The sequence below is a fragment of the Homo sapiens genome, chromosome 2, assembly GCF_000001405.40.
Source record: "Homo sapiens chromosome 2, GRCh38.p14 Primary Assembly".
Lineage (NCBI taxonomy): Eukaryota > Metazoa > Chordata > Mammalia > Primates > Hominidae > Homo > Homo sapiens.
This window is the reverse complement of record NC_000002.12, coordinates 28,198,424-28,222,513: the sequence shown is the minus strand read 5'-3', so window position 1 is coordinate 28,222,513 and position 24,090 is coordinate 28,198,424. Positions and strand designations below refer to the sequence as shown.

Here is a 24,090-nt window from a genome sequence, read left to right as displayed (position 1 = left end):
CTGCCCCTGCAGCATGTGAAGGTATCAATACTGCATCCATGGCATCAATGGGCCGAAAGTAGTTTCGCTCAGACTCACGTGGAATCACATGTTGAATATTCATAGCTTCACTTCTGGAAGCTATGACTGTTTTACCCTGTATGGCAAATGGGACTTCGGTGAGATGTGATAAAGGTTAAGGACCCCGACATGAGGAGATTATCTTGAATTCTCTGGTTGGGCTCTCCATCAATCTAGGCCTCTTGGTGTAAGGATTCAGTTCAAGACACTCTTAACTCTCAGGATTCCTAGTACTCTCCAAAAATAACACTTCCACAGAACCCTGTGTAGGCATTTAGAGTCTTAGAGGAGAGGGCAGGGAAGGGTTCACAACTTCTGGGCCATCCGGCAAGTGCTGAGCATGAGAATATGTAAGGTCCACCACAGAGCTTCCGGCCATTCGATGGGGCCCCAGGCTCACATCAGCACCTCCCTTTCCCAACAAGACCAAGACTGCTTCTCAATACAGTCTGGGGCTAACTCAGGACAACTTGCTTTTCTGGATGTTTCCTCATTTCATTAGGAACCAACTTGGGATCAGGGTCACTCTGGAGCAAGGCGAGCCCTTAAGTTCGCTCCCATCACATTCTGAAACTGTTAAGCTGCAGGCATGCTCATTGCCTGAACAACAAACACACCAACCCAACTCTAGACTTGAAACAGAGATTGGGCATATTCTGAGTGACTTCTGCCTCCTAGGCAGGCGAAGGACTGAAGACAAACACTGGAGAGAATAAATGACAAGTTCATATGAGTAGAACCAAATCACAAATGTAAACGACAAATTTCAATCAACAACAGGGGAGCTGAACACATTATAGCAAAGTCTTCCAGTGGAGTACCATACAGCCACCAGGAAGATAGCAGCCTTCAGGTTCTGAGGGCCACTTAAAAAATACATTCATTATTTCCATTCAGACAAATGGCCATGATATATTGGATAGGAAAAATGCAAGCTGCAGAATAGTATGTAATATGTCATACATTTTTTTGTGGCTAAATTAAAGCAACAACAACAACAACAACTAAATAAATAAATACCCCAAACTGATTTAATAGGGCAACACTGCAAACATACTAAATCGACGTACTTCGTGTTTCTCAGTAAATCATGTTTCCCCCCTGCACTTTCACTGAGGCTAAGACTTGAGGCCCACTGTCCCAAGGAAGAGGGTGGCACCACCCAAGTCAGAGAAATGCCAGCACAGGGAAGAAGAAGGATGTGGCACCGGATGAGCACATCCCTCAGACAGGAATGGAAAGAAACAAAAGCAGAAAGGGGAGAAGTTTAGAGGGAAAAGGGACTGCCTGGTGTCCCAGAGGTTTTCCTTGGGTCTCAGTGGAGAGAGAGAGAGAGAGAGAGGAAAAAAGGGAAAGAGAGAGAGAAGCAGCGGTGGTGAAAGGAGAGACACCTAGGTTAACTGAGGGAAATCCAAGTGAGGAGTTTTTTACTTCACTTCCCACTTGGGAATCGACGAGATCATCTTGCAGAGGAAGGGAGTATTACAGTAAGACACATGATCACGTTGCATTTTGTATAGTTGTTCTTTTTTTTGACAGGGTCTTCCTCTGTCACCCAGACCAGAGTGCAGTGGCACCATCACAGCTCACTGCAGCCTTGACCTCTGGGGCTCAAGTGATCCTCCTACCTCAGCGTCCTAAGTAGCTGGGACTACAAGCATCACACCTGGCTAATTTTTGTATTTTTTGTTGAAGCAAGGTCTTCCTATGTTGCCCAGGCTGGTCTCAAACTCCTGGGATTAAGCAGACTGCCTGCCTTGGCCTCCCAAAGTACTGTGATTACAGGTGTGACCCACCACACCCAGTTGTATCCTTGTTTTATTTATTTTTTTTTTGGTTGGTATTGGAAAGCTATAACTGACACATATTACTTTTGTAATACGAGAGACAGAGATAGAGACAGACATAGAGATGGAGAGAGAGAGAGAGAGGCACTAAGGTATATAAGAACACAGTTTGATTGTGAAGTTGAGCTTTTTTAATTCCCAAAGACTATGGAACTCTATGTTATTGATCTAAAATCTACTACTATTTAGAAGAACATCAATAGCAGCTAACACATAATGAACATTTTCCATGAGCCAGGCATTATATTAAGAGCTTCTTTTATTTATCTTTATTTAACCCTTACAAAAGCCCTGTAAGGTTGATATATTGTACAAATAGCAGTAAGGCTTGGGAGGTTAAGTAACTGACTCAAAAGAACTCATCCAGTAAATGACGGACACAGGACTGAACCAGGCCATCCGATTTCTGAACCCACACATTCCGCTGCTGCGCTACACACTGCCTCCCACCACAGACCAGCTGGGCTTCGACAATCAGTTCGTTTTGCTGGTGTGTATAACATCAAAAGATCCAATCTTACCACACAAACTTGTTTGGTACAAAATGAAGAAGAAATAGTGACTAGCTAGTGAAAGCACGTCGTCAGAAACAGGCCCAGGTGCTGAGACAAGTGAGGGACAAAATTCAGGAAACAGCAGCACTGAGCCACAACTCATCCAGTATCATTTTTTCTCACCGGCCCTGATTTTTCTCACCAAAGTCCCTGCAGCCAGCAGCAGCACAGCTTCATTTTGCAGCAGGGACACTTGAGCATTAAACCCTACGTGCTTGCTTGGCTCCGCAGCGGCTCAAGCAACCTTCAAGCACTATTTTTGAGGCTCTGTTACGACAACATCATCTCTTCAGCCCCCACTCTTGATTACAAGCCTATTTCTTTTAACTAAACATAAAGCAATTTCTCACTGAAGCTTCTTTGCTTGTAATCCTCTACCCGGTTTTTTTTTTTTCTGATTAAACAGAAAGAAGTAAGCTCCTAGCACAAGCCTTGAACACAGGTAGGCATTTGTGGTAGGCAGAATGATGGCTCCCCAAAGCTGCCAAACCCTCATTTCTGGAAGCTATGAATTTTTTACCCTACATGGCTAAAGGGACTTTGGTGAGATGTAATAAAGGTTAAGGACCCCGACATGAGGAGATTATCATGAATTATCTGGTTGGGCTCTCAATCCATCTAGACACACGAGTCCTTAAAAGTAGAAGAGGAAAACAGAGGAGTGAGTCAGAGAAATATGATGACAGAAGAAGAGGCAGGAAAAACTTGAAGCATGAGAGGGACTGGACTTGCCATTGCTGGCTTGAAGGAGGAAGGGGGCTATGAGCCAAATAAGGACAGCAGCCTCTAGAAGCTCAACTGACCTCCGCAAAGGACCAGATCTCAGTTCTGTGACTGCAAGGGACTGAACTCTCTGAACAACCTGAAAGAGTAAGGAAACAGATTCTCCACTAGAGTCTCCAGAAAGGAATGCGGCCCACTGGCACCTTGACTGTAGCCGCAGGAGCTCTGCACTGGACTTCTGTTCTACAGAAGTGTAAGATAATCAATTGGCATGGGTTTAAGCTGCTAAATTTGTGGTAATTTGTTACAGCAACAGTAGAAATCTAATATAGCATTCAAAATACAACTGTTTTTTGATGGAAACATGATGAAATGAGGCTTTGTTTATGCAGCAAAATAATGACAGTAATGGTGTGTGTCCCATTGAATAAAACAGAATCAATAAATCCCCTCTGAAACACATATGTTAATGGATAAATAAATAAATGAGGAAAGCTCTTCTTTACAGTAGAAAGCCAACTAATAAACGTAGTAAGAAAGATGCAGCTGAAGAATCATCAATGGCTGTCAAAACTAGTGGGTGAAAGTCTGAGGAAGACATTTACATAGTCTCAACACATCACTCCACGGAGTTCTTATTAAAGAGAAAACTAGTAACATTAGAGTGCAGAAACCACAGAGACACCACTTAACCAGGTGATCAAAGTCAACATCACCAATCCCGGGACAAACTGACATCATGTGACTTTTGATATGTTATACTCAGGACAGACACATCATGTCACACATATAAATCCGATTATGAGGAAGCATCAAATGAACCCAAATTAAGGAACAAGATGACTGATATGTACTCTTCAAAAATGTCAAGGTCAAGAAAGATAAAGATTAAGAAACTGTTCCGGATTTAAAAAATAAAGAGATATAACAGCTAAAGACAATGTGTGATCTGGCTTGGATCCTGGTCCAGGGTAAAAAATAGCTAACAGGGTTATTAGTGAAACAACTGACACAATTAGAATATGGACTGTGGATTAGATAATAGTACTGTGTCAATGATACACTGCCTGATTTGATAACTGCACTGTGGTTATATAAGAGAATGTCCATGTTCTTAGGAAATACATTCTGAAACATTTAGGGGTGAAGTACAATGTGGCCCCAATTTACTCTCAAATAGTTTAGGAAAAAAATGAGCAGATACAAAAATGTAAGTACATAGAGAATAAATACATAAGGCAAATGGGGCAAAATGTAAACAATTAGGGAATCTGTGTAAAAGGAATAAGACAGTTCCTTGTTCTATTCTTGCAACTTTTTCTCTTTTAAGTTTAAATATCAACATAAAAAGTTACACAAAAATCCCTGTAAACTACCCTTTAAATTTTTATGTTTATATTAGATCCACTGTTATATGATACAGAGAATTTTAAGAAAGAAAATATGAGTTCAATGAGTTTAGTTTTCTCGAACACTGTAACTGGCTAGGTGATTTTTTTCAATTAATGCTGTTAATATGTGATAATGCCTTGCACACAGTAGGCAAGCAATAAATACCTATAGACTGAACATCAAGCAATTTACTTCTAGTAGGAAAGTCAGCATCCCAAGTAAAAGCATGGAGATATATGGCATGATATGACATAAAAACTTTAAAAAAATTAAGCTGAAGTGTGAATGAACCAGAAAAATGAGGTGGTTAAGCACCCTTGCTCTGAAATTGGACTGGCAATGTAGAGTTGAAATTCAGTTTCATCACTTAGTATACTGCCCCTGGGGCAAGTTGTTTAAAACATCCCTAAGCCTCAGTTTGCTTATCTATGAAATGGGGATAATAATTAGGTTCGCAGGGCTACTGTGAAAATTAAAGAATCACTCTCCAAGTGGTCCCTTCCTTACAGTTCAACTGGATGCTCAGAAATGCTCTTGTTGAACAAACTGACCCATACAGTACTTTTGAGTATAGATTGTTCCTCACACATAAAATGCCTCTGAGCATTATTTCTGCCCAGCCATATCCACTGTCTTCCAAAGCACTTAAATCAGTGCCAATTTATGAAACTTTTCTTGACCATTATGATATTCAATCACTCTATGACTCATTCATTCAACAAATATTAACAGATATGACAGTAAACAAGACACTGCCATATCCTACTCTCATAGAAAAGTATATGCTAATAAGAGACAATGCAATAATAATATAAGAAAGAAACAGAAATATCATAATGTCAAAGAGCATGACAATGGATGAGGGCAGACGGCAGGTGGCAACTTTAGGGCAATCGGGGAAAGCCTCTCTGTGGAAATAAATTTAAACTGAGACTCAAATGATAAAGTGGAGCCAAACATGTAAAGAGGTGGAGAAATGACCTTCTGGCAGAGCGAATGTGAAGTACAAAAGCCCTGAGGTGGAAATGAGGCTGAAGTGTTTGAAACACAGAAAGGGGCCAGTGTGGCCAAAGTGGTGGGTATCGGGGAGGTGGGAGAAGAAAGAGTCAAATGTCCAGGAAAAGGCCAGATTATGAAGGAGAGGGTAAGTTACTGGGGTTTTATTCTACATCCACGATAGGGTTTTATAACTGTTTCTTTCTTCTTATGGTGAATATTTCATGGGCTTCTCTGAGCTCTCTACACAGTAGGTGCTTAATAAATACTTGTGAGTGCATAAGGTAGAAAATAAGCTAGGAGGGAAATGGAGCCAACACTCTGTACGATATTGGATGTTGGCTTCTGTCACTAACACGTACACATGCTCCATCAACCTGAACTTCAGATCAATAGGTCTGTTATACTGCATGAAAACAGAGTTGTCATGGCAACTCTAATTAGATGGTTTTCATTCCAAGGAAGATGAACTAAATACTGCAATTACAGGCTGGTTTGGTTCTCTAAAATACCTGCAAAAATTGCAATCCTCTACCAGTTGGAACATTTAGTACAAGAAGTACCCAATTTACCAACAAAAGGAGTCACTAGAGTTGGCTTATTTGTTAGGAGTTTACAGAATGCATTTTCCTCTAGAAATAATATTGTAAAGGAGGCTAGGTTCTTAGGACAACACATGAAAACTTCTTAAAAATTCATAAAGTGGCAGAAATACTGTACATTTGCACTGAGAAAATAATAGAAATAAGTTCTTTTAAAATATGGCAATTAAACAAAAATTAAGTCAAAGCTTTTAACTTATCATGATGCTGTTATTTGAAGAAAATAAAGTTTAATTAGAAGAAAATTAAGAGAGAAGTGGAAAATTTAGTGAAGATTCTATTAAATAATTCTGGGCACCATCAAAGCTTTTAGAGGTTAATGTCATTGATTTCAAAATTAGCATTACTTTGGATTCAGGTGTCTCTGAGAGAGCTTAGTCAAGATCATGGTCCTTTTGGCTCAGAAACAGGAGAGTAAAACATGAGTGGGGCTACCCTGAGGTTCCTCAAGGAAATGGAAAACATTAAAGGGAAAGCTGGCTTAAAATACAGTTACAGGGTAACTATGAAAACCTGAAAAAGTAAAATGAGGGAGAAAGGAAAGGAGGAACTCCCATGAGAGCAGAAAGAAGCAGAGGGGCAGAAACTGGTTCACCTATGACAGCTTGATTATTACCTAAAAAACAGGGAGTGAGAAAGACAGAGGGAAATGGGTAGGAGAGAGAAAGAGAAAAATAAATGACAAAGGGAAGGAGTGGAAGGGTAAAAACCAAAGACTGATGGTCTTGGATGGATGCAAGATAAAAAAGTTTTCATTCATTTATTCAAACAACGAGATGTTTGAAAATTAAATAGCACATTCTTCTAAAATGAATTATGTACTTCATATAACCCTGTGTCATCCCAAATGCCCAGCAGAATGCTTTGAATGTAAGAGAGTTTAATAAATTGTTAAACATATCAGTGCTGCATCAACAACAGCTAACACATATTAAATGCCCATAAGTATGAAGCCTCTTACATACATTATCTCATTTAATCTTGACAACATTAGATGGTTCTTAGCCCTATTTTAAAGTTGAGGAAACTGAGGCTTAGACAAGTTAAAGAGTTTGCTTAAGGTCCCACATAACTAGTAAATGATAAAGGCCACATTAGAACAAAGTCTGGTTCCAAAGTGCACACTCCTAATCCCTTGCTCTCTACCTACCTCAATAAATATTACTATGAAAGGAGAAAAACTACAAAATCCAGAACCTTACATGAATCTATATATTGGATTAAATTGTACAAAGCTACACACAAACACACACGCAGAAGTAAATGCAGTGAAAAAGATGGTGAAAACTGACTAAGGTCTAGTCTAGTTAGCAGTATATAATAAATTCTGCTTGACATTCATTGATGTAGAATTAACAATAATATGAATTCATATCCCAAATTGCTTTCTCTGGAATCTTTCTCCTTTTATCATATTTAAGCATGGCAATATGGGGCCTGCAAGGAGTGCTTGGGGAGGGCAACAGTCACAGGAAAAATTTCACTTGCCAAATTGCATAAGCATTATCAGAAGAAGCATTTCACAAAATCCAACACAATTTGTGATTAAAAAAAAAAAACTTCAGCAAACTAGGAATAGAGAGGAACTTACCCAAGCTGATAAAGAACATCAACAAAAATCTTACAGCAAACATAATACTTAATGACAAAAACTAAATGTTTCCCCACCTAGGATTGGGAACAAGGCAAGAATTGTCTGCTGTCACCACTCTTATTCAAAATGGTATTGGAAGTCCTAGCCAATGCAATGAAGCAAGAAAAAAGGCATACGTATATCAGAAAGGAAAAAATAAAACGGCCCTTATTTGTGTAAGACATGATTGTCTACAAAGAAAATTCCAAGGAATCTATAAAAACACTCACAGAACTATTCTCATGAACACAAGGTCAACAAGATTGTTGGACACAAAATCAACACACAAAAGTTAATCGTATTACTATATACCAGCAATGAACACATGGAAATCAAAATTAAAAATGTAATATCATTTTTATTTGCTCTCAAAAAATAAAAAGAAATACCTAAATATAATGCAAATACAAAGAGGCAGCACAAGAGACTTCTTTTGTGGTGATAGAACAGTTCTGTATCATGATTGTGGTGGTGTTTACATGAATCTATATATCAGATTAAATTGCACTAAGCTACACACACACACACATATACATACACACATGTGAATGCAGGTTAAAAAGATGATGAAAACTGACTAAGGTCTAGTCTAGTTAGCAGTAACATGCCAATGTCAATTTCCTGATTCTGATTATTGCACGGCAGCCATATAAAATATCACCAATGAGGGAGCCAGATGAAGGATGCATAAGACTCTGCACCATTTCTGCTAACTTCCTGCCTTTATTTCAAAATAAAAAGTGCTGTTTTTTTTTTTTTTAAAGCAAGTTAAAGTTCTAGTAATGGATCTTCTCCATTTCTAGAGTACTTTTAAAAAACATAGAAAACCAAGTAAATTTCATCTCCTGGTTTCCTTTTACAGATAAAAAAAGTGGCTTTTTATATCCAAGCAATCAATGATAGAACCAAGCATGAGTTCCAGTAAAGGAAGAAAGAAACAACAATAATAAAAACTTAGAGTGCTTACATTAGACATATAAATAAACCAAAAATGTATTTTAATTCTGATGTTCCATATCTATTACTATTTTTTAATCCTATAATATACATCTTAAGTTCAATTTTTTAAAAAGAAATGGGATATAAGCATATTTTAATAAAGTAAAGCAAAATTTAAATAATTAGTAGAAGTTAATTAGGTCTGATCTGGCAAGAAATTAATTATATTCCTTATTAATATTATATACTCCCCCTTTTCTCAATATAATACAGCATTCCCACCCTTGGTCTCACTAAATGCTCTATGTTACTCATATATTAAGTTACTGAAATTCCATTACTTCTAACAATTTGCATGTATGTCTCAAAAAGGTAGGCAAACGCCTCTATTTCTTATGCAAACTACCGCTGTAGATCAAGAAAGCTCCTATATAGTATCCACTGAGTTCTTGGTAGCTTCTTTAGTGTTCAGTTTCTTACCAGATCCCCAAATAGACATCTCCATATAAAAGCTTAATAATTTTTTAATTTTTTTTTTTTTTGAGACAGGGTCTCGTTCTGTCACCCAGGTGGAGTCCAGTAGCATGATCTGGGCTCACAGCAACCTCCATGTCCTGGGCTCAAGTGATCCTCATACCTCAGCGTCCTGAATAGCTGGGACCACAGGTGCGTGCCACCACACCCAGCTAATATTTGTATTTTTTGTTTGTAGAGACAGGGTCTCACTATGTTGCCCAGGCTGGTCTCAAACTCCTGGCTGGGCTCAAATGATCCACCCACCTTGGCCTCCCAAAGTGCTGGGATTACAGGTGTGAGCCACTGTACCCAGCCATAAAAGATTAATAATTGCCTAGCACCTTTTGGTAAGCCTCTTGGGCTGTAGCTCAAATTAAAAGATCTAAGAATTACCCTCAGTAAGATTTTATGATTTCAGGAACACAGTTCTAATACTTCTCATTTTAACAGCATTGTCAATAACATTGTTAAGTGTCACCTGATACTGGACAATGTTTTCTAGAATAAAAATCTCTACTATTTTACATTAAAAATTGAACTACTATCATTTGCCCAAAAATGAGGGGGTCGGGAGCAGGAGATAAGGAAGGATTAGTTTCAAGGATAAAAAGAATATATACTTATCAAGTGACTCTGGCCTAAAAAACTACTTTTAATGTTGATGCTAAAGATAAACTAGAAATATTATATTTTTAGAATACACGCTCATATTATCTGATAAATGTAGGAAAAAAATTCCAAAGGATATAAGAAACTTAAAATGTAATTATCTGGGACTTGGTCTGATGAGGGAGAGGGTAAAAGAGAGACTTCACTACATCTCTTTTATAATTACTAAGGTTTGAACCATGAGAATGTATTATGGATGAAAAAACCTAAATTAAAAAACAAGTGTGCAGTTCCTCTAGAACAAAAGAATTGCTAGGAAAACAAAGCATAGCCCAATGAACCTAGAACCTAGAACAGTGCCTGGTGCATAGGAGGCACTCAAATGCTGAATAAATGAATGGCTGAAATGAAATTTGTAAAATGTTTATATTTCCTTAAAAAATGGCCAAAATAATTTGCAAATATCTCAAGCTATTCCAACTAACAGGAAATACAGAGGATAGAATAAGTTAAATACCACCATGAGAAAGTAGGCAGGAACTTCTAGAATATAGGACATTCTGCTGGACAACTGATTTGGTTTTGTCAACAAGTCAATTTTACAGGGAAGAAAAACAGCAAGAGGGTGAGGACTGTTCTAGATTAAGAGACTTATGGGAAAAAAAAATCTAATGCTATAGACTATTTGAATCCTGATTTGAACAAACCAACCACTATAAAAAGACACTTGAGACAAATGAGGAAATCTAAATGTAGACTGAGTTAAATGGCAGTAAAGAATTACTGGTAATTTTGTTATATATAATATCAGTATTGTGATACAAAATTTTTCTATATTTTTTTAAGACATATGGGAATCTTTTAAGTGAAATGACAATGTCTGTGATTGGATTTAATATAATATTATAGGACCCCTTCCAAAGAAAAAGAAAGGAAGAAAGAAAAGAAGGCAGAGTCCGGGCACAATGGCTCATGCCTGTAATCCCAGCACTTTGGGAGGCCAAGATGAGTGGATCACCTGAGGTCAGGAGTTCAAGACCAGCCTGGTGAACATGGTGAAACCCTGTCTCTACTAAAAATACAAAAAATTAGCTGGGCGTGGTGGCAGATGCCTGTAATCCCAGCTACTCGGGAGGCTGAGGCAGGAGAATTGCTTGAACCCAGGAGGTGGAAGTTGCAGTGCGCCGAGATCACGCCACTGTACTCCAGCCTGGGCAACAAGAGCGAAACTCTTTCTCAAAAAAAAAAAAAAAAAAGATAATAAGGAAGGAACTATACATGGATAAGTATGACCAAATGTTATTAAATACTAAGAATGACTATCTGCGGTCCATTATACTATGTTCTCTTGTTCTATGTATGCTTGAAAACTCTCAATCAAAAAATTATTTTTAAGTCCCAACTAACTCAACATGAAGACAGCAGTTGATCTCTTGGAGTCTAGAGTTTTCAAAACCTAACTGACAGCTCTCTTTTTTGGGAACCAATGCGAAATCAGGATGACAGATGAAATTCTGTGTCCCCTCTGTTTTTGGCAACTATTTGCTCAGGGAATACAAACTCATTTTAATGATCCAAGAAAAGTATATGATACACTTAAAGAACCAAATCATATAGATTACATTCTGAAATCAGATTTCAAATATTTGAATTGTCTTTACCACTGGCCTTTACTTGCATAAGGAATTAAGAGTTAACACTGGGATGAAATAACTTTATTTTTCTGTTCCAAAATTTCTGTTAAGTGTTCTCCTCAAATGTTTAAAATGTTTTGTTTAGAAGAAATATAATCATTTCAAGAAATCTGCCCTGAGGAAGCACTCTTACCCACTATTCTTTTGGAGATTCATTTTTAAGGGACTGGCCAAAAGTATTTCATGACAGCTTTGCTACTGTACTTCAGTTTCATGGAACACCTAATCCAGGACCTTCCATTGGCACTATTTGGATGAGGGAGGCTTGTTTGCCCTCGCTTTTCCTTTCTCCTGCATTTTATAATGCTTTCTCTCTGAAGGGGAAAAACAGAAAATGATTCTTTTTTCATTGAAAACCAAAATCCCTGGAGCACATGCTTTTGGCATCTTTCTCTTGAGTTGTGAAGGTGAAATACTATCTCCTGGTACCACCTTTGCCAAATGAAAGACTCTAAGGCCTTCTTTAATACTTAGCTCAACCATCACCATACCTCGATGAAAACTCTACACCCTAGCCTTTCAGGAAGTTACAAGCACTCTCTTCTATTCTTCTGGTACACCACATTCAAAACTTGCAGTAGTGTAGCATAATTTAGCACTTCATATGTTGTTTTCCCTCCCTAGATTGTGAGCAGCTCACGGCACAAACGTGTCTTTCCTATTTATTCTCCAAGTTATAGGACCAGGCTCCATCCCAGGCACATAATAGGTACTGAATACCTTATAAATTAATAAAAGGCAGGAAAGCAGGGAGGAGAACCAGGGAGGACAGGCCTTCCCTTGCAGGCTGTTCTTTTTCAAGAGGCCAAGTATTGAAAGGATGAAAAGATTTAAGGGAAGCCACAGTGCCAGTGAGCCATATATAAGCCTAAGGACTTCTACATTCAAGGAAGGAAGTGCAAAAAGAATGGAGAGTTCCTCTTTTACACACAATGGGAATGGAATCACAGGTTAACAATTAGAACAGTTAAGAGTATGTGAGTAAGGTACCTAATTATATCTAGACCTTTGCTTTCTTTTAGATTTCTCTCTATATTAATTATTTAAAATATTAATATCTAACCTTAGAGTTTAAGATTATTTTACTAAATAATTTTATTTCCAAAAAGGAAAATCTCCCTCCCAGGTAAAACATGTCTATATCTCAATCCCTAGGATTGAATTCTATAGCTTGATCAACAAAATCACTGTCTCCTAATGGCAGGAAACTAACTGCAGGCCAAATATCTAAGAAAAAACATACAGTCTTCAGCCCTGAGGAATACAGAACTCTCAATGGCTGGACGAGTGTCTGACACATGGGTGTCCAGTGAATGCATGTTGAATGGATGAGTAACATGACAACAAAACCATACACTTAGAGCATATACGTCACAGTCTACTGATCTGGCAGGCCTCCCCTCCTCCCTCTCAGTTGGCAATGCTTATAATTCAGTGTCCAGAAATATAAAAATTATTACTGTTCCTTATCAAGGTAACCCTTTTTCCTCAGGCCACACCTTCCACAGGGAATCTGAAGATCAGGCTAAAGTCCAAAGTCTCTATTATCGTCAAAGTTCCCACCTCCAATTTGTAAGATGACAATCCTAGCAGATTGCTAATAGGTAATCATAACCTTCTCCACCCAGTGCAGCTACTATAGAAAACATGACCTCAGAGGTAAACCAAATAATCATCATTCCCACTCCACCCCACTCTAAGGAAGAATCAGGGGACTGAGAGAGATGTTGACTTCCGCTATGGACACATACTCCTAGCTTGCCCACCTTTAGACCCTTTAGTAAAGGGTCTCTAAGCTGTGGAAATGAGGAATGACAGCAACTGTGAATAAGTGAGCTGGCCATGAATATCAAAAGTTGTATTGTTGCAAATAATTTGCTAGGGACCCTCAGACCTAATTTAGCCTCACTGTACATTTCAGGCAACTGAGGCCCAGCCACATTCAGACTTGCCTGAGAACACCAAGCCTGAAGGCAGAGTTGGGACTAGAACAACTTGCCCATGCTTCCAATTTCCAAGGAGAAAGGGCACCAAGGAACAAAGAAGAAAGACGGGTGAATCCTACAATTGTTCACCAGGGACTGGGGCATTTAGATACATGTCATAGGTTACCATTTCATCTCCCCACCTGGCAACTCCAGAGCCCCTGCTCACCTAGGAAGATTTGTGAAATCCTATGTATGTACTCAGAGGCCACAACTGTTAGCAAGCTAGAACTGTTCAGGAACTTACATGATTATCTGAAAAATATGAGAAAAGGGCGAGCACTCATGCAGATGTGCAAGAGAAAGGAAAGAAAAGAAAGGAAAGAAAGAAAGAGGAAGGGAGGGAGGGAGGGAAAGGGGAAATGAAGGAGAAAAGGAGGGAAGGAAGAAAGGAAAAAAACAAATTGTAGGAAAGGTACAATAAAGGAAGAATTTGCCTAGAGGCAGTGCCTCAGGGCACCCCTTCTGGAGGTGGGAAAGACTGGGTCAGCAGGCAGTCCCATCAGGCTGGGTTCTGATTCTAAGTTGTGCAAACTAGGGTTAGAATCTTTCTGCAAATAAACAACAATACAAAATTTAAAGGTCTCAAAACCACTGTCCTACAGAGCTTACAAATTAAACTCAATAATCTAGCTTTCTTTTTTCTTTTATAGCAATATCCAGTTAGGAAACATTTCATAAATATAAACAGCCTGATACAGACACAACATCTTGAGCTGGGATCCCTCTGTCCCACTCCAGGTCACTCTGACTGCAGCCAGGCTGTCCTGCACCTGCATTAACCCTAGAAAGCAGTACCAGGAGCTAACGACCTGCCTGAAAGTATCTTCCTAACACTGCTCAGTGAAATCTGCTGCAGGTGATCAACCCCATTCTCAAAAGTGTGTGCGCATGTGTACACACACACACACACACACACACACACACACACACAGCCTTTAACACCCTCCTCCCTCACAATTTTTGATGAAATGCTTAGGAAATATGTATTCTCTCTTTGTATGTATGTATTCTCTCTCTTTTTTCTATTTGTGAAGGACAGAAACAAAATGAAACAAAAATAAAAACAACAAAAAAATTGAGGGTCCTAAGTTACAGAGAAGCACACCAGTAATTAACAGTGAACTAGACATACCTGTATTTTAAAAAAAGAAGTGAGATTAGATCTGATTAACAGGCTATCCAATCAAACTTAAAATCCTTTGGAGGTATCCAGAAATAACCATCAAAATGTTCACAAAAATATTTATTTTAATCATATTCTCTGATTTAGCCTTATTTTTTTTCCCCTCAAGTACCAATGTTCAAAATGTTTATCTGTGAAAATCAAGTTAAATATTTTTTGAGCACCTGCTATGACAAGGTACTGGATTGATGCTATTCCTTGCTCAAGTTGGATGCTTTATTTTTATTTATTTTTTGAGACAGGGTCTTGCTGTCATCCAGGCTGGTGTGCAGTGGTGCAATCAAGAATCCCTGGGCTCAGGTGATTTTCCCACCTCAGCCTCCCGAGTAGCTGGGACTATAGGTGCACGCCATCACTCCTAGCTAATGTTGTTGTTGTTGTTGCTGCTGCTGTTTTTCCCAGAAGCATCATCCTAGGATTTTTTTTTTTTTTTTAAACTAGAGACGAGGTCTTGCTATGTTGCCCAGGCTGGTCTTGAACTCCTGAGCTCAAGCAATTCTCCCACCTTGGCCTCCCAAAGTGCTGGGATTACAGGTGTGAGCCACTGCACCTGGCCTCAAGTTTGTTGCTTTAAATAATTTTTGTAGTTTTATGTGACTTCTAATAGAGCAGCAGTTTTGTTTTCTAAGATATTTCATCCTTAAGTATTCAGGGAAGATACTAGTGTAGTGGTTAAGTCCTCAGACTTGGAGTCTGAACGACTGGCTTCAATTCCTATTCTGTCACTTGGCAACATAGTAACAGTACCTACCTCACAGGGAGACTGTGATGATTAAATGAAATAATGCATGTAAATAACTGAATACTGTGCTTGGCACACAGCCAGCACTCAAAGAATGTCAGATGCTATTCTTTCCCTCTCCTCCTTCATAATAGCAGCAGCAATAGTAGGGGGAGTAGTTGTTGTAATGGTACTAAACACTGGCAAGGACTTGTAAGAGTAGTGGCAAATAATGTTGTAAGAGTAGTAAACACTGGCAAAATCACACAGCGTTCGTAGTTAGGTAGGACTGGGGTCAAATCCTAGTGCTGCCATTTAATCAAGGCTGCTGCAGGCATATAAAGAATCTTTGTGCAATTTATAAAAGATGTCACCCCTGGAAGATAGGCGACAAACAGATGCCCCTTCCTCTGGATAGAGGAATGTGCCGAAGGAAAGACACAAGACTTGGCCAGAAGAGCAGCTGGGTGAGTGGAGCACTGGTGGGGTTTCAGCCTCCGCTCACCACCTCATCAGTCAGTAACATCATCACCACCATCAAGAACCCGGAAGAAAAACTAAGCCTCAGAAAAGGTATGGACAATTGTAGTCGATATTTAATTCTCCATTCCTGATCACTCTAATATTCCGAATTCTGTTTGTCTAATGGAGAGTCTTAGGCCACAGCTCGGATCATGGTACCTCACCCCTTTGCAGAAGTCTCCTGGCTCTCTATTTCTTGCTGAATTACACACAAATTCCTCAGGCTGGCATTCAGGTTCCCAAGGGTACCTATTTATCTTTGAGCTTTATTTCCTCTGTGGCAACTTGGCAGCTTTGCAAATAACTGTCCTATCCTTTCCTACCTTTGCTAGAATATAGGTACCATGAAAACATAGATTCGTGTCTATATTGTTCAAATACATATTCCAAGCACCCAGAAAAGTGATTGGTATATAGTGGGTGCTCAACAAATACTGGAAAATAAATGCATTTGCTCATTGTAGGCCCCTTTACCTGGAAACCCCTCCAGCCTTGAAGATTTTATCCTTCTTTCAACGTCAGTCCTACACGAAAGCCTTCCTAATTCCTACTTGATTTTTCCACGGAAAAATTTAAACAAATGGAATAATTTGAACAAACTAATTTGAAAAGCAAGCCAGCAACAGAATTTTTAATATTTTAAAAGCTGAAGTATTGATAAAAGCCATTTACTCCTCTAGAACTAGCCAAATTATTCTACTGCTCTTTAGGAGAAATAAATTTCTACTCATCCATTATTGCTGTAAGTGAGATATATATAAATATCATAGATTGCTAATGATTATTTAATTAAAACAAGCAAAGTTACTTAGCTTCACTCCATACTCTACAGAAGGTTTGGGACCTAATTGAGCTTAGACTTAAGACCATATTAATTTCATAGGAAGAGCTTCACTGAAGCTCAAATGGTGGGCTCTGGTATCAGACATACATTGTAAGGAACTTGGGCAAGTTAATCTCCCTGTGCTTTCTTCATCTGTAAAGTAGGGGTAATAATAGTACTTAAATTATTTTTTATTTTATTTTTATTTTTGAGACGGAGTCTTGCTCTGTCGCCAGGCTGGAGCGCAGTGGCACAATCTCAGCTCACTGTGACCTCTACCTCTCGGGTTCAAGTGATCCTTCTGCCTCAGCCTCCCGAGTAGCTAGGACCACAGGCACGTGCCATCATGCCCAGCTAATTTTTTTTGTATTTTTAGTAGAGACGGGGTTTTACCATGTTGGCCAGGATGGTCTTGATCTCTTTACCTCATGATCCACCCACCTCAGCCTCCCAAAGTGCTGGGATTACAGGCGTGAGCCACCCTGCCTGGCCATACTTACTTACTTTATTAGTTAGGCTAGGTTAGGCAAAGCTGCAGTAACAAATGCCCCTCTTTCCCTATATCAATGGGAGAGTGTCTTATTACAACAATAAATCATGGAAAGTCAGCTACGTGCATGAATGACCATCTAGGACAGTTGTTTTCAATGACCCAGTGATCCAGGTTGGCCAAAAAAAAATAGAAAAGAATGACAGCAGAATCTGATTTTAATAAGAAGGTTGTTTTTTTTTTTTAACCAAAGTTAAAAAAAAACTTTTTTACTGAAAGTGACACTGTCAACTCTGCTCGTATATCACTGACAAGAATTAGTTAACATGCAAGGTCCAGGCCCATACGGGGGGCTGCGAGGTATTGTTTTCTATGTGTCCAGAATGGAGGAATATGAAATGGGATTTGGTGAATTCAAAATACTACTTCTGTCATAACTACCTGATAAGGTTGATGCATAGACTGAATGAGATAATAAATGTACATCTCTTAGAACATACCTGATACATAGTAAGCATTCAATAAAGGTTGGCTAAAACTATAAGTCACTACTATTATATGGTAACACAAGACATTTATATTCAAAAATTTCCCACCGAGTGAAACTTCAGGCTGAGTTAGAATTTAATGACTGATTTCTCTGCACTTATCTGGGCATTTGAAATGACCTTGTCCTAAGTATGTTGAAAAAAAAAAATAGGCCAAAGAGCCAGGAGGGTCCCCACAAATGACTCTAGCCCTGGCACATACTGTGGGTAACTGCTGAGTCCCCTGTGCTTATACTTCTCCCGAAGGTTTGCAGAAAATTCACTCTGCAACAATGCTTGTTTCAGAGATCAGAACGGTTCTAGAATTCTCTGAGGTCTTGGCCTAAACATCACATTTTCATACCATCTACTGCCAGCCTCTAGCTTAATGCAAATACAAAATTACATTTTTCTCTAGAAAGGTACAAAAATTTAAGTAGGATAAATAATAAGGATTTCTGTTCAAAGACGGACATTACAGACAAAATGAACAGACTGGTAACTTATAGGGAAAAGATAATAACAAAGACTCAAATAAAAGATTAGTATCACAATATGTAAGTAACTCCAACAAATAAGAAACAAATGTAAAAATAGGTTAAAAAAATAGAAGGGGAAGCTTAAATGGATAAAAGCAAATAAACAATGATCAGCCTACCAGTAATCAGAGAAATACAAATTAAAGCAAGATATCGTAATGATTGGCAAAAATGATAAATTTGGGTAATACAAAGTATTGGCAAGGATGTAGGAGGACAAGCATTGGCAAGTGCTGCTGGTGGGATTCTAAACTGGCGCAGCCTTTCCGGAAGGGCAATCTGGCAGTGCTCTAAGGATGTTCACCCTGGCAAGCTAAGACAACTGCGCTGCTTATTACCATGGGAATGGAAAGAAGAGTGTGGTGGATGCCTGCTATGGAACCCCACATGGCAATCAGGTTCAACAACCTAAATGTAAAAGGAAAGCTCTTAAAAGCATAAAGCCAAGTGAATATAAGAAACAGAATGAGAACCTTAGTATATCACCTATGTAAATGAAAAACGTCTCTTATGTAAAGGCCACAAAACAACCTACTATATTTTTAAGGGCATATAAATAAATAAGAACATTGTTAATGGGAATGGGAAGAGTGGAGATGGAAGATGAAAAAGTAAAAAGATGAAAACAAAAGCAAAGCCATGCACCGACTGGTGGTGATGATAATGTGCTATCAACTAACCAGTATGATGAATTCAACTCTCTAACCCAAGGTGCCAGAGACACCCACCCTCACACAAGAAAGTAGAAAACCATTTGCAGGAATTATTTGGTACTCATCCATGAGGGTCTTCCAAAAATTCATGATTGACATATGTAGCTAAATGGAATAAAATAGGCTGTGGGATGATGGTGATCTGAATTGAGTTTTCTAACTACTAGAGAAGATCGCAACTGTTTCTCAGCAGTAAAGTGAGTCCTTTTCTTACAGAATTAATTGATAAATGCTTTGAAATGAGAAACCCAGATCCTAAAATACAAGGCCGAACATATTCGGAGAGGACTAAAAGAAGTAAATTAAGTGAATTCATTATAAAGGTCAAGGTACAACCTGTCACCTTAGCTCAACGTGACACTTCATTTTGGCTTTCTTAATTCCAGTACGTCTTAATTTTGGCACATTCTTACCCTACACACAAGAGAGGATGTGCCCCCATAATGATTCATCAATAGGAAAGCATTCTTTCTGTGGGGGGGTGGAGGACACAGGTGAGGTTAAGGTACAAAATCCATGCTGGTGCTCTGCCATAATTAACTGCAGTAAAACATGGGAGGAATATTCCCCGTGATTGAAGCACTCAAGGCATATATCCTTGTGGCAATGTTTTACAGGCTTTTTACATTGTACTACCTGTTGAAGATGTTTATTTAAGTCTTTGTTTTCTCTCTTTTTAAGTCTAAAGAAAGGATGAGAGTCCTGATTATTTGTATTCATAGGTTCCATTTCTTTTTCATATTTAAAGATACACTATGGACAAGTTAAATAATGCCATTTCCTCCCCCAGCTGCATGTGATGAATGAACAAAAGCCCCAACTAAAATGTTCCCATCGCATAAACTAGAACAACATTACTAAGTCCAACTTGGGTAAGTCCAATTTACCCAGCTGTTTCTGAAGCAACTAGATGTTGGAATTAAAGCAGATTTTTCTATTCTTTGGGGAACTTCCTACTCAACATTATAGGAAAGTAGTCCTTGATAAAGCTATTGAGAAAAAGTAACATTTTAAATGGGAGGAAGAGAGAGAAGACAGGGAAGGGGCAGGGGCATGGGAGGGAAGCAGGAGGGGGAAGCTCCAGGGAAGGGGGGACTCAATGGGATGTGGGAAGAGACAGGAAGGGAGAGAGGCTGGGTTCAAAGCTGAGGACTACTAATAGAGCAAGGCTAAAATAATCCAACATTAGGAACACAGTCAGTACCCCGGTCACGAATTTTATTCCATTAAGTAGTGCTTAGCCAAATCTTTCTGGCATCTTCTCTAGGATTTATTTTCACTCTCTGACCCAGTAGTGGTTTTCCATCTGGTCTCACACTCCTTATCAGAGTAGAGGTGTGAATTACATCTAGAGATTGTTCTGGGATCTCTGAGCACTCCCAGTTCTAAAAGCTTTTAACTTCCTCTGGCAAAGGATGCTCCTGACCTGCAATTCCCAATTGTTCCCCTGGCCAACTGGGCCCCGTGGCTCATCCCATATGATTTCCCAAATGACAGAACACCGGTTCTGTATCTGTACTGTGACTTCAGAGATCTTTCACCATTCGGGGCTTCATCTCTATTTCATGGCCTGGCCTCTATTAATCCTCCTGTGTCTTGCCAGAGGCTTTGTCTTCATTTTGCAACCTGTTCCTGCTGATGCACCGCAGTTTCTTGCCAGCGTCTTTATAAGTCTTAAGACTTAAGAAATCTCTGGCAAGAGGCTGTGGAGGATTAGTTGAGGCTACGAAGCGGAGATGAGACTCCTGATAGAGCCAAATGTTAAGAGTTTGGCCAAACTTGTTCTTCATTTTTTTCTTTCCTTTATATTAAAAAGCCACCTAAACACAACAGAAGAGCTTTTAAGCAAAATTAACAATGGTCTCCTGGTGACAACTAAGGCCACAAACAAAAGGTTTCTTCTTATGCAAGCGGAATATTAGGGCACCATGTAACACCTAGACTGGGTTCATATCCTCTTTGACTGTGCACTGACTTCCTCAAAAATATCGTCTCTCTTGGCATCCCACTTGAAGATCCATATATAAAAAAAGAAATATAAATAAAAATGTGTGTGTAAGGCAGCAAACAAATGTTGAGATTGGGTCCACATTAGCCATATGGTATTTTTGTATAAAAACAATCATTATGTGATATTAGGACCAAAGAAAATGAAATTCATATTCATTTCCAAAATCTGACAGCTTGTTTATTTCTGCTATCATGTTGCATACTGGAATTTCTTTCCTTATAGTCAAATCCTAAAAAAAATAAAAAACAATTTAATACCACACAATAATGTACTACTTTTTAAAAAATGGAACACAGGACACGGATCCTTGGTTATTACCAAAATTTCCTCCCCTTGCTCTCCCCATTAAAAAACTCACAGAGGCCGGGCATGGTGGCTCATGCCTGTAAACTGAGCACTTTGGGAGGCCGAGGTGGGAGGATCACTTGAGGTCAGGAGTTTGAGACCAGCCTGGCCAACATGGCAAAACCCTGTCTCTCCTAAAAATACAAAAAAATTAGCCAGGTGTGGTGGTGCGCACCTGTAGTCCCAGCTATGCAGGAGGGTGAGGCAGGAGAATCGCCTGAACCCAGGAGGCAGAGGTTGCAGTGGGCCAAGATTGCATCACTGCACTCCAACCTGGGCGACAGAGCAAGACTCTGTCTCAAAACAAACAAACAAACAAACAAACAAAAAACCCCATAGATACCTGGTAAACTAGTACATAGCATAGAGCTTTTAATAAGAAAAGACAAACATTGTAGTGTTAAGTCTATTTTTGGGAAGGTTAAGGATGCTATCTATTGCTTGAATCTGATTGGCTGTTTCAGTCAAGGGAGCAAGAGAAAGTTATTTAAACTATTACTTATAGATGACAAAGCCGATTAATTGCTCCAGCAAACTCCCAGGCTGCCTACTAATATGCACTTTACCCCTCTGGCTAATTGAATGTGTGCACAGTATGATTACAAATGGATAGGTCCTGGTCTTTTCTTCTCTCTGAAATGATATACTGCTTTTATTAACAGGGAGTGAAGAAGAGAGCTAATATTTATAGATGACATTATATTTCATTCACTTCTCTAACAAATTAGCTTTTGTAGCCTTCCATTAGTAGAGGGTAATAAGGGACAAACATGTATGGAGAGACACTTGGACTCAGTGAGATGGAAATGGTGAATGATGATCAGTGAAAAATGAATACAGGAGAGTCAGCAATGACTAATAAGGGGAAAGGAATTCAGTGAAGAAATACAATGTCCTGTCCTGGCTTCTCCTTCTTTTAGTGTTGTTCACTGTCAATCACTGTCAACAGCCTAGAAGATAGGTAGGGTTGTTTTGGAAAGTTGATTCTAAACCAGCTACGTATGAAGAAGGTAAACAAGAATGAAAATGTGTATTATATTTCCCTAAAAGGCACATTTCACACATTTAGTAGAAAAGATACAAGTGCTAACTGTGATTAGCAGTTCACTTTCATTAACACATTCAAAATGAATAGGGGTTTCCTAATATTTATTTTATAAAATAACAGGTGTTAGGAACCGTCCAGCTCCACACAATGCCTTGGTGCCAATCCTAGATAAGGATCACTTGTTTAGGTCTTAGGGTCCAGGATGTTTCGTTCCATACCTGTCAACAATGGCTCCTAAATTTTGGCCAGAAACTAATCAGTCTGCAGGTCCTTCAAACTTCCACTGCTGCCCACCGCTGCCTTCCTAGAACCCAATCTATTGGCCCTGGACCACCACAGAAGTTCGTTTTCTGTTCCTCACTTGCCTTACTGCCAACTAAAGGGTCAACACGACTCCTGAACTCTTCTTCAGCCTTAGCTTAGGACACTAGTGCCTAGTCAACCTCATCTCCTTAAGCTAATACCTAGTTTCAATCATATCTTCCGGGCCCTAATTATAGTCTAAACAAAATAATAATCATTCAAAAAATTTGAGTGCTTAGTATTTGCCAAGCACAATTCTAGGAGTTTGGTGGATAAGAATGAACAAAGTCATTTATGAATTTTTAAAATTTCAAAACAAAGACTGTCATCTGCTAGAAAAATCCACAGCCACTCAAACAGCAAATGTAGGCTGGGAACAGGAAGGGCTAGGTGGCACTTACCTGTGCCAGCCTAGCCAAGAATATGCACATAAAACATGCAACTTGTTACAAGCACGTAACGAAAGAGCAAAGGATGTGTGTCGGCTAAGATGTCAACTCAGCATGCAATGTCACACACGCCACCTTGCTTCTGGGATTACACCAACTGGCACAGCACTTCTAAAATCAATTGTTTGCCCTCGATGCTGACCCAGCAAAGGGATTAGCACTGCATTATAAAAAGGAATCCAAGAAGTGCAAAAACAAGGCACTTAAAGAAAGGCTGGGATAGAACCATGGTAACAGGTACACACATTCAAGCCGACAAACCAAAAATTCTAATAATCTTAGGTAAATTACCATACTCTTCATCCACATTGCCTGGCCTTCCTCCCTAAAGTTCAGAGTGGACCTGCTTTAGGTTTTTTACAGGTTTTGTGAGGACAGGTGGGGGCAGGGGAGGTGTTGTCACTAGAACAGATTCTAAATACAGGTAAGGCATTAAAAAGTTCTCCTTTTTCCTTTCCTTTTTATTTTCCCCTCCCACTTGTATCCTGCAAGTCAAGACCAAAGACTGTTGATACCACAGTGGGTCTCTGCTTACTTAAAGGGCTGAAGTAACACTGATATTAGTGAAAAATGTTTTGGCCAACTATACGATCTAATCTCTCAAGGGCAACACAGGCCCAGGCTCAGGCTTCCCTGGTATTTAGTCACTGGAGCTAAAGGCAAGGGGGAGAAGGAAGGACAGGTACTATGGACACACAGCAGGAAGGTACCTCAGGTACCAACAATTGAAGATGATGCTAAAGAACACTCTTTGGTTGATGGTTTTCAGGCCGTTCTGATCATTGTAAATCCAGGCTGCAAATTTCCTTTAAAGCTGTCCTGGCCAGGCGCGGTGGCTCACGCCTGTAATCCCAGCACTTTGG

At 39.2% G+C, this 24,090-nt stretch overlaps 1 protein-coding gene and 1 long non-coding RNA gene across 15 annotated transcripts in view; one reads left to right on the top strand and one right to left on the bottom strand.

The window, feature by feature from the left end:
* The window catches only part of BABAM2 (BRISC and BRCA1 A complex member 2), a 450,193-nt gene that overhangs the window by 116,388 nt on the left and 309,715 nt on the right, over positions 1-24,090 (bottom strand). The gene's annotated exons all lie outside the window — the stretch shown is intronic.
* The window catches only part of LOC100505736 (uncharacterized), a 58,407-nt gene continuing 49,869 nt past the window's right edge, over positions 15,553-24,090 (top strand). Inside the window, exon 1 of the long non-coding RNA NR_120504.1 lies at positions 15,553-16,030. This is a non-coding gene — a long non-coding RNA (uncharacterized LOC100505736). The remainder of the gene's footprint in view (positions 16,031-24,090) is intronic.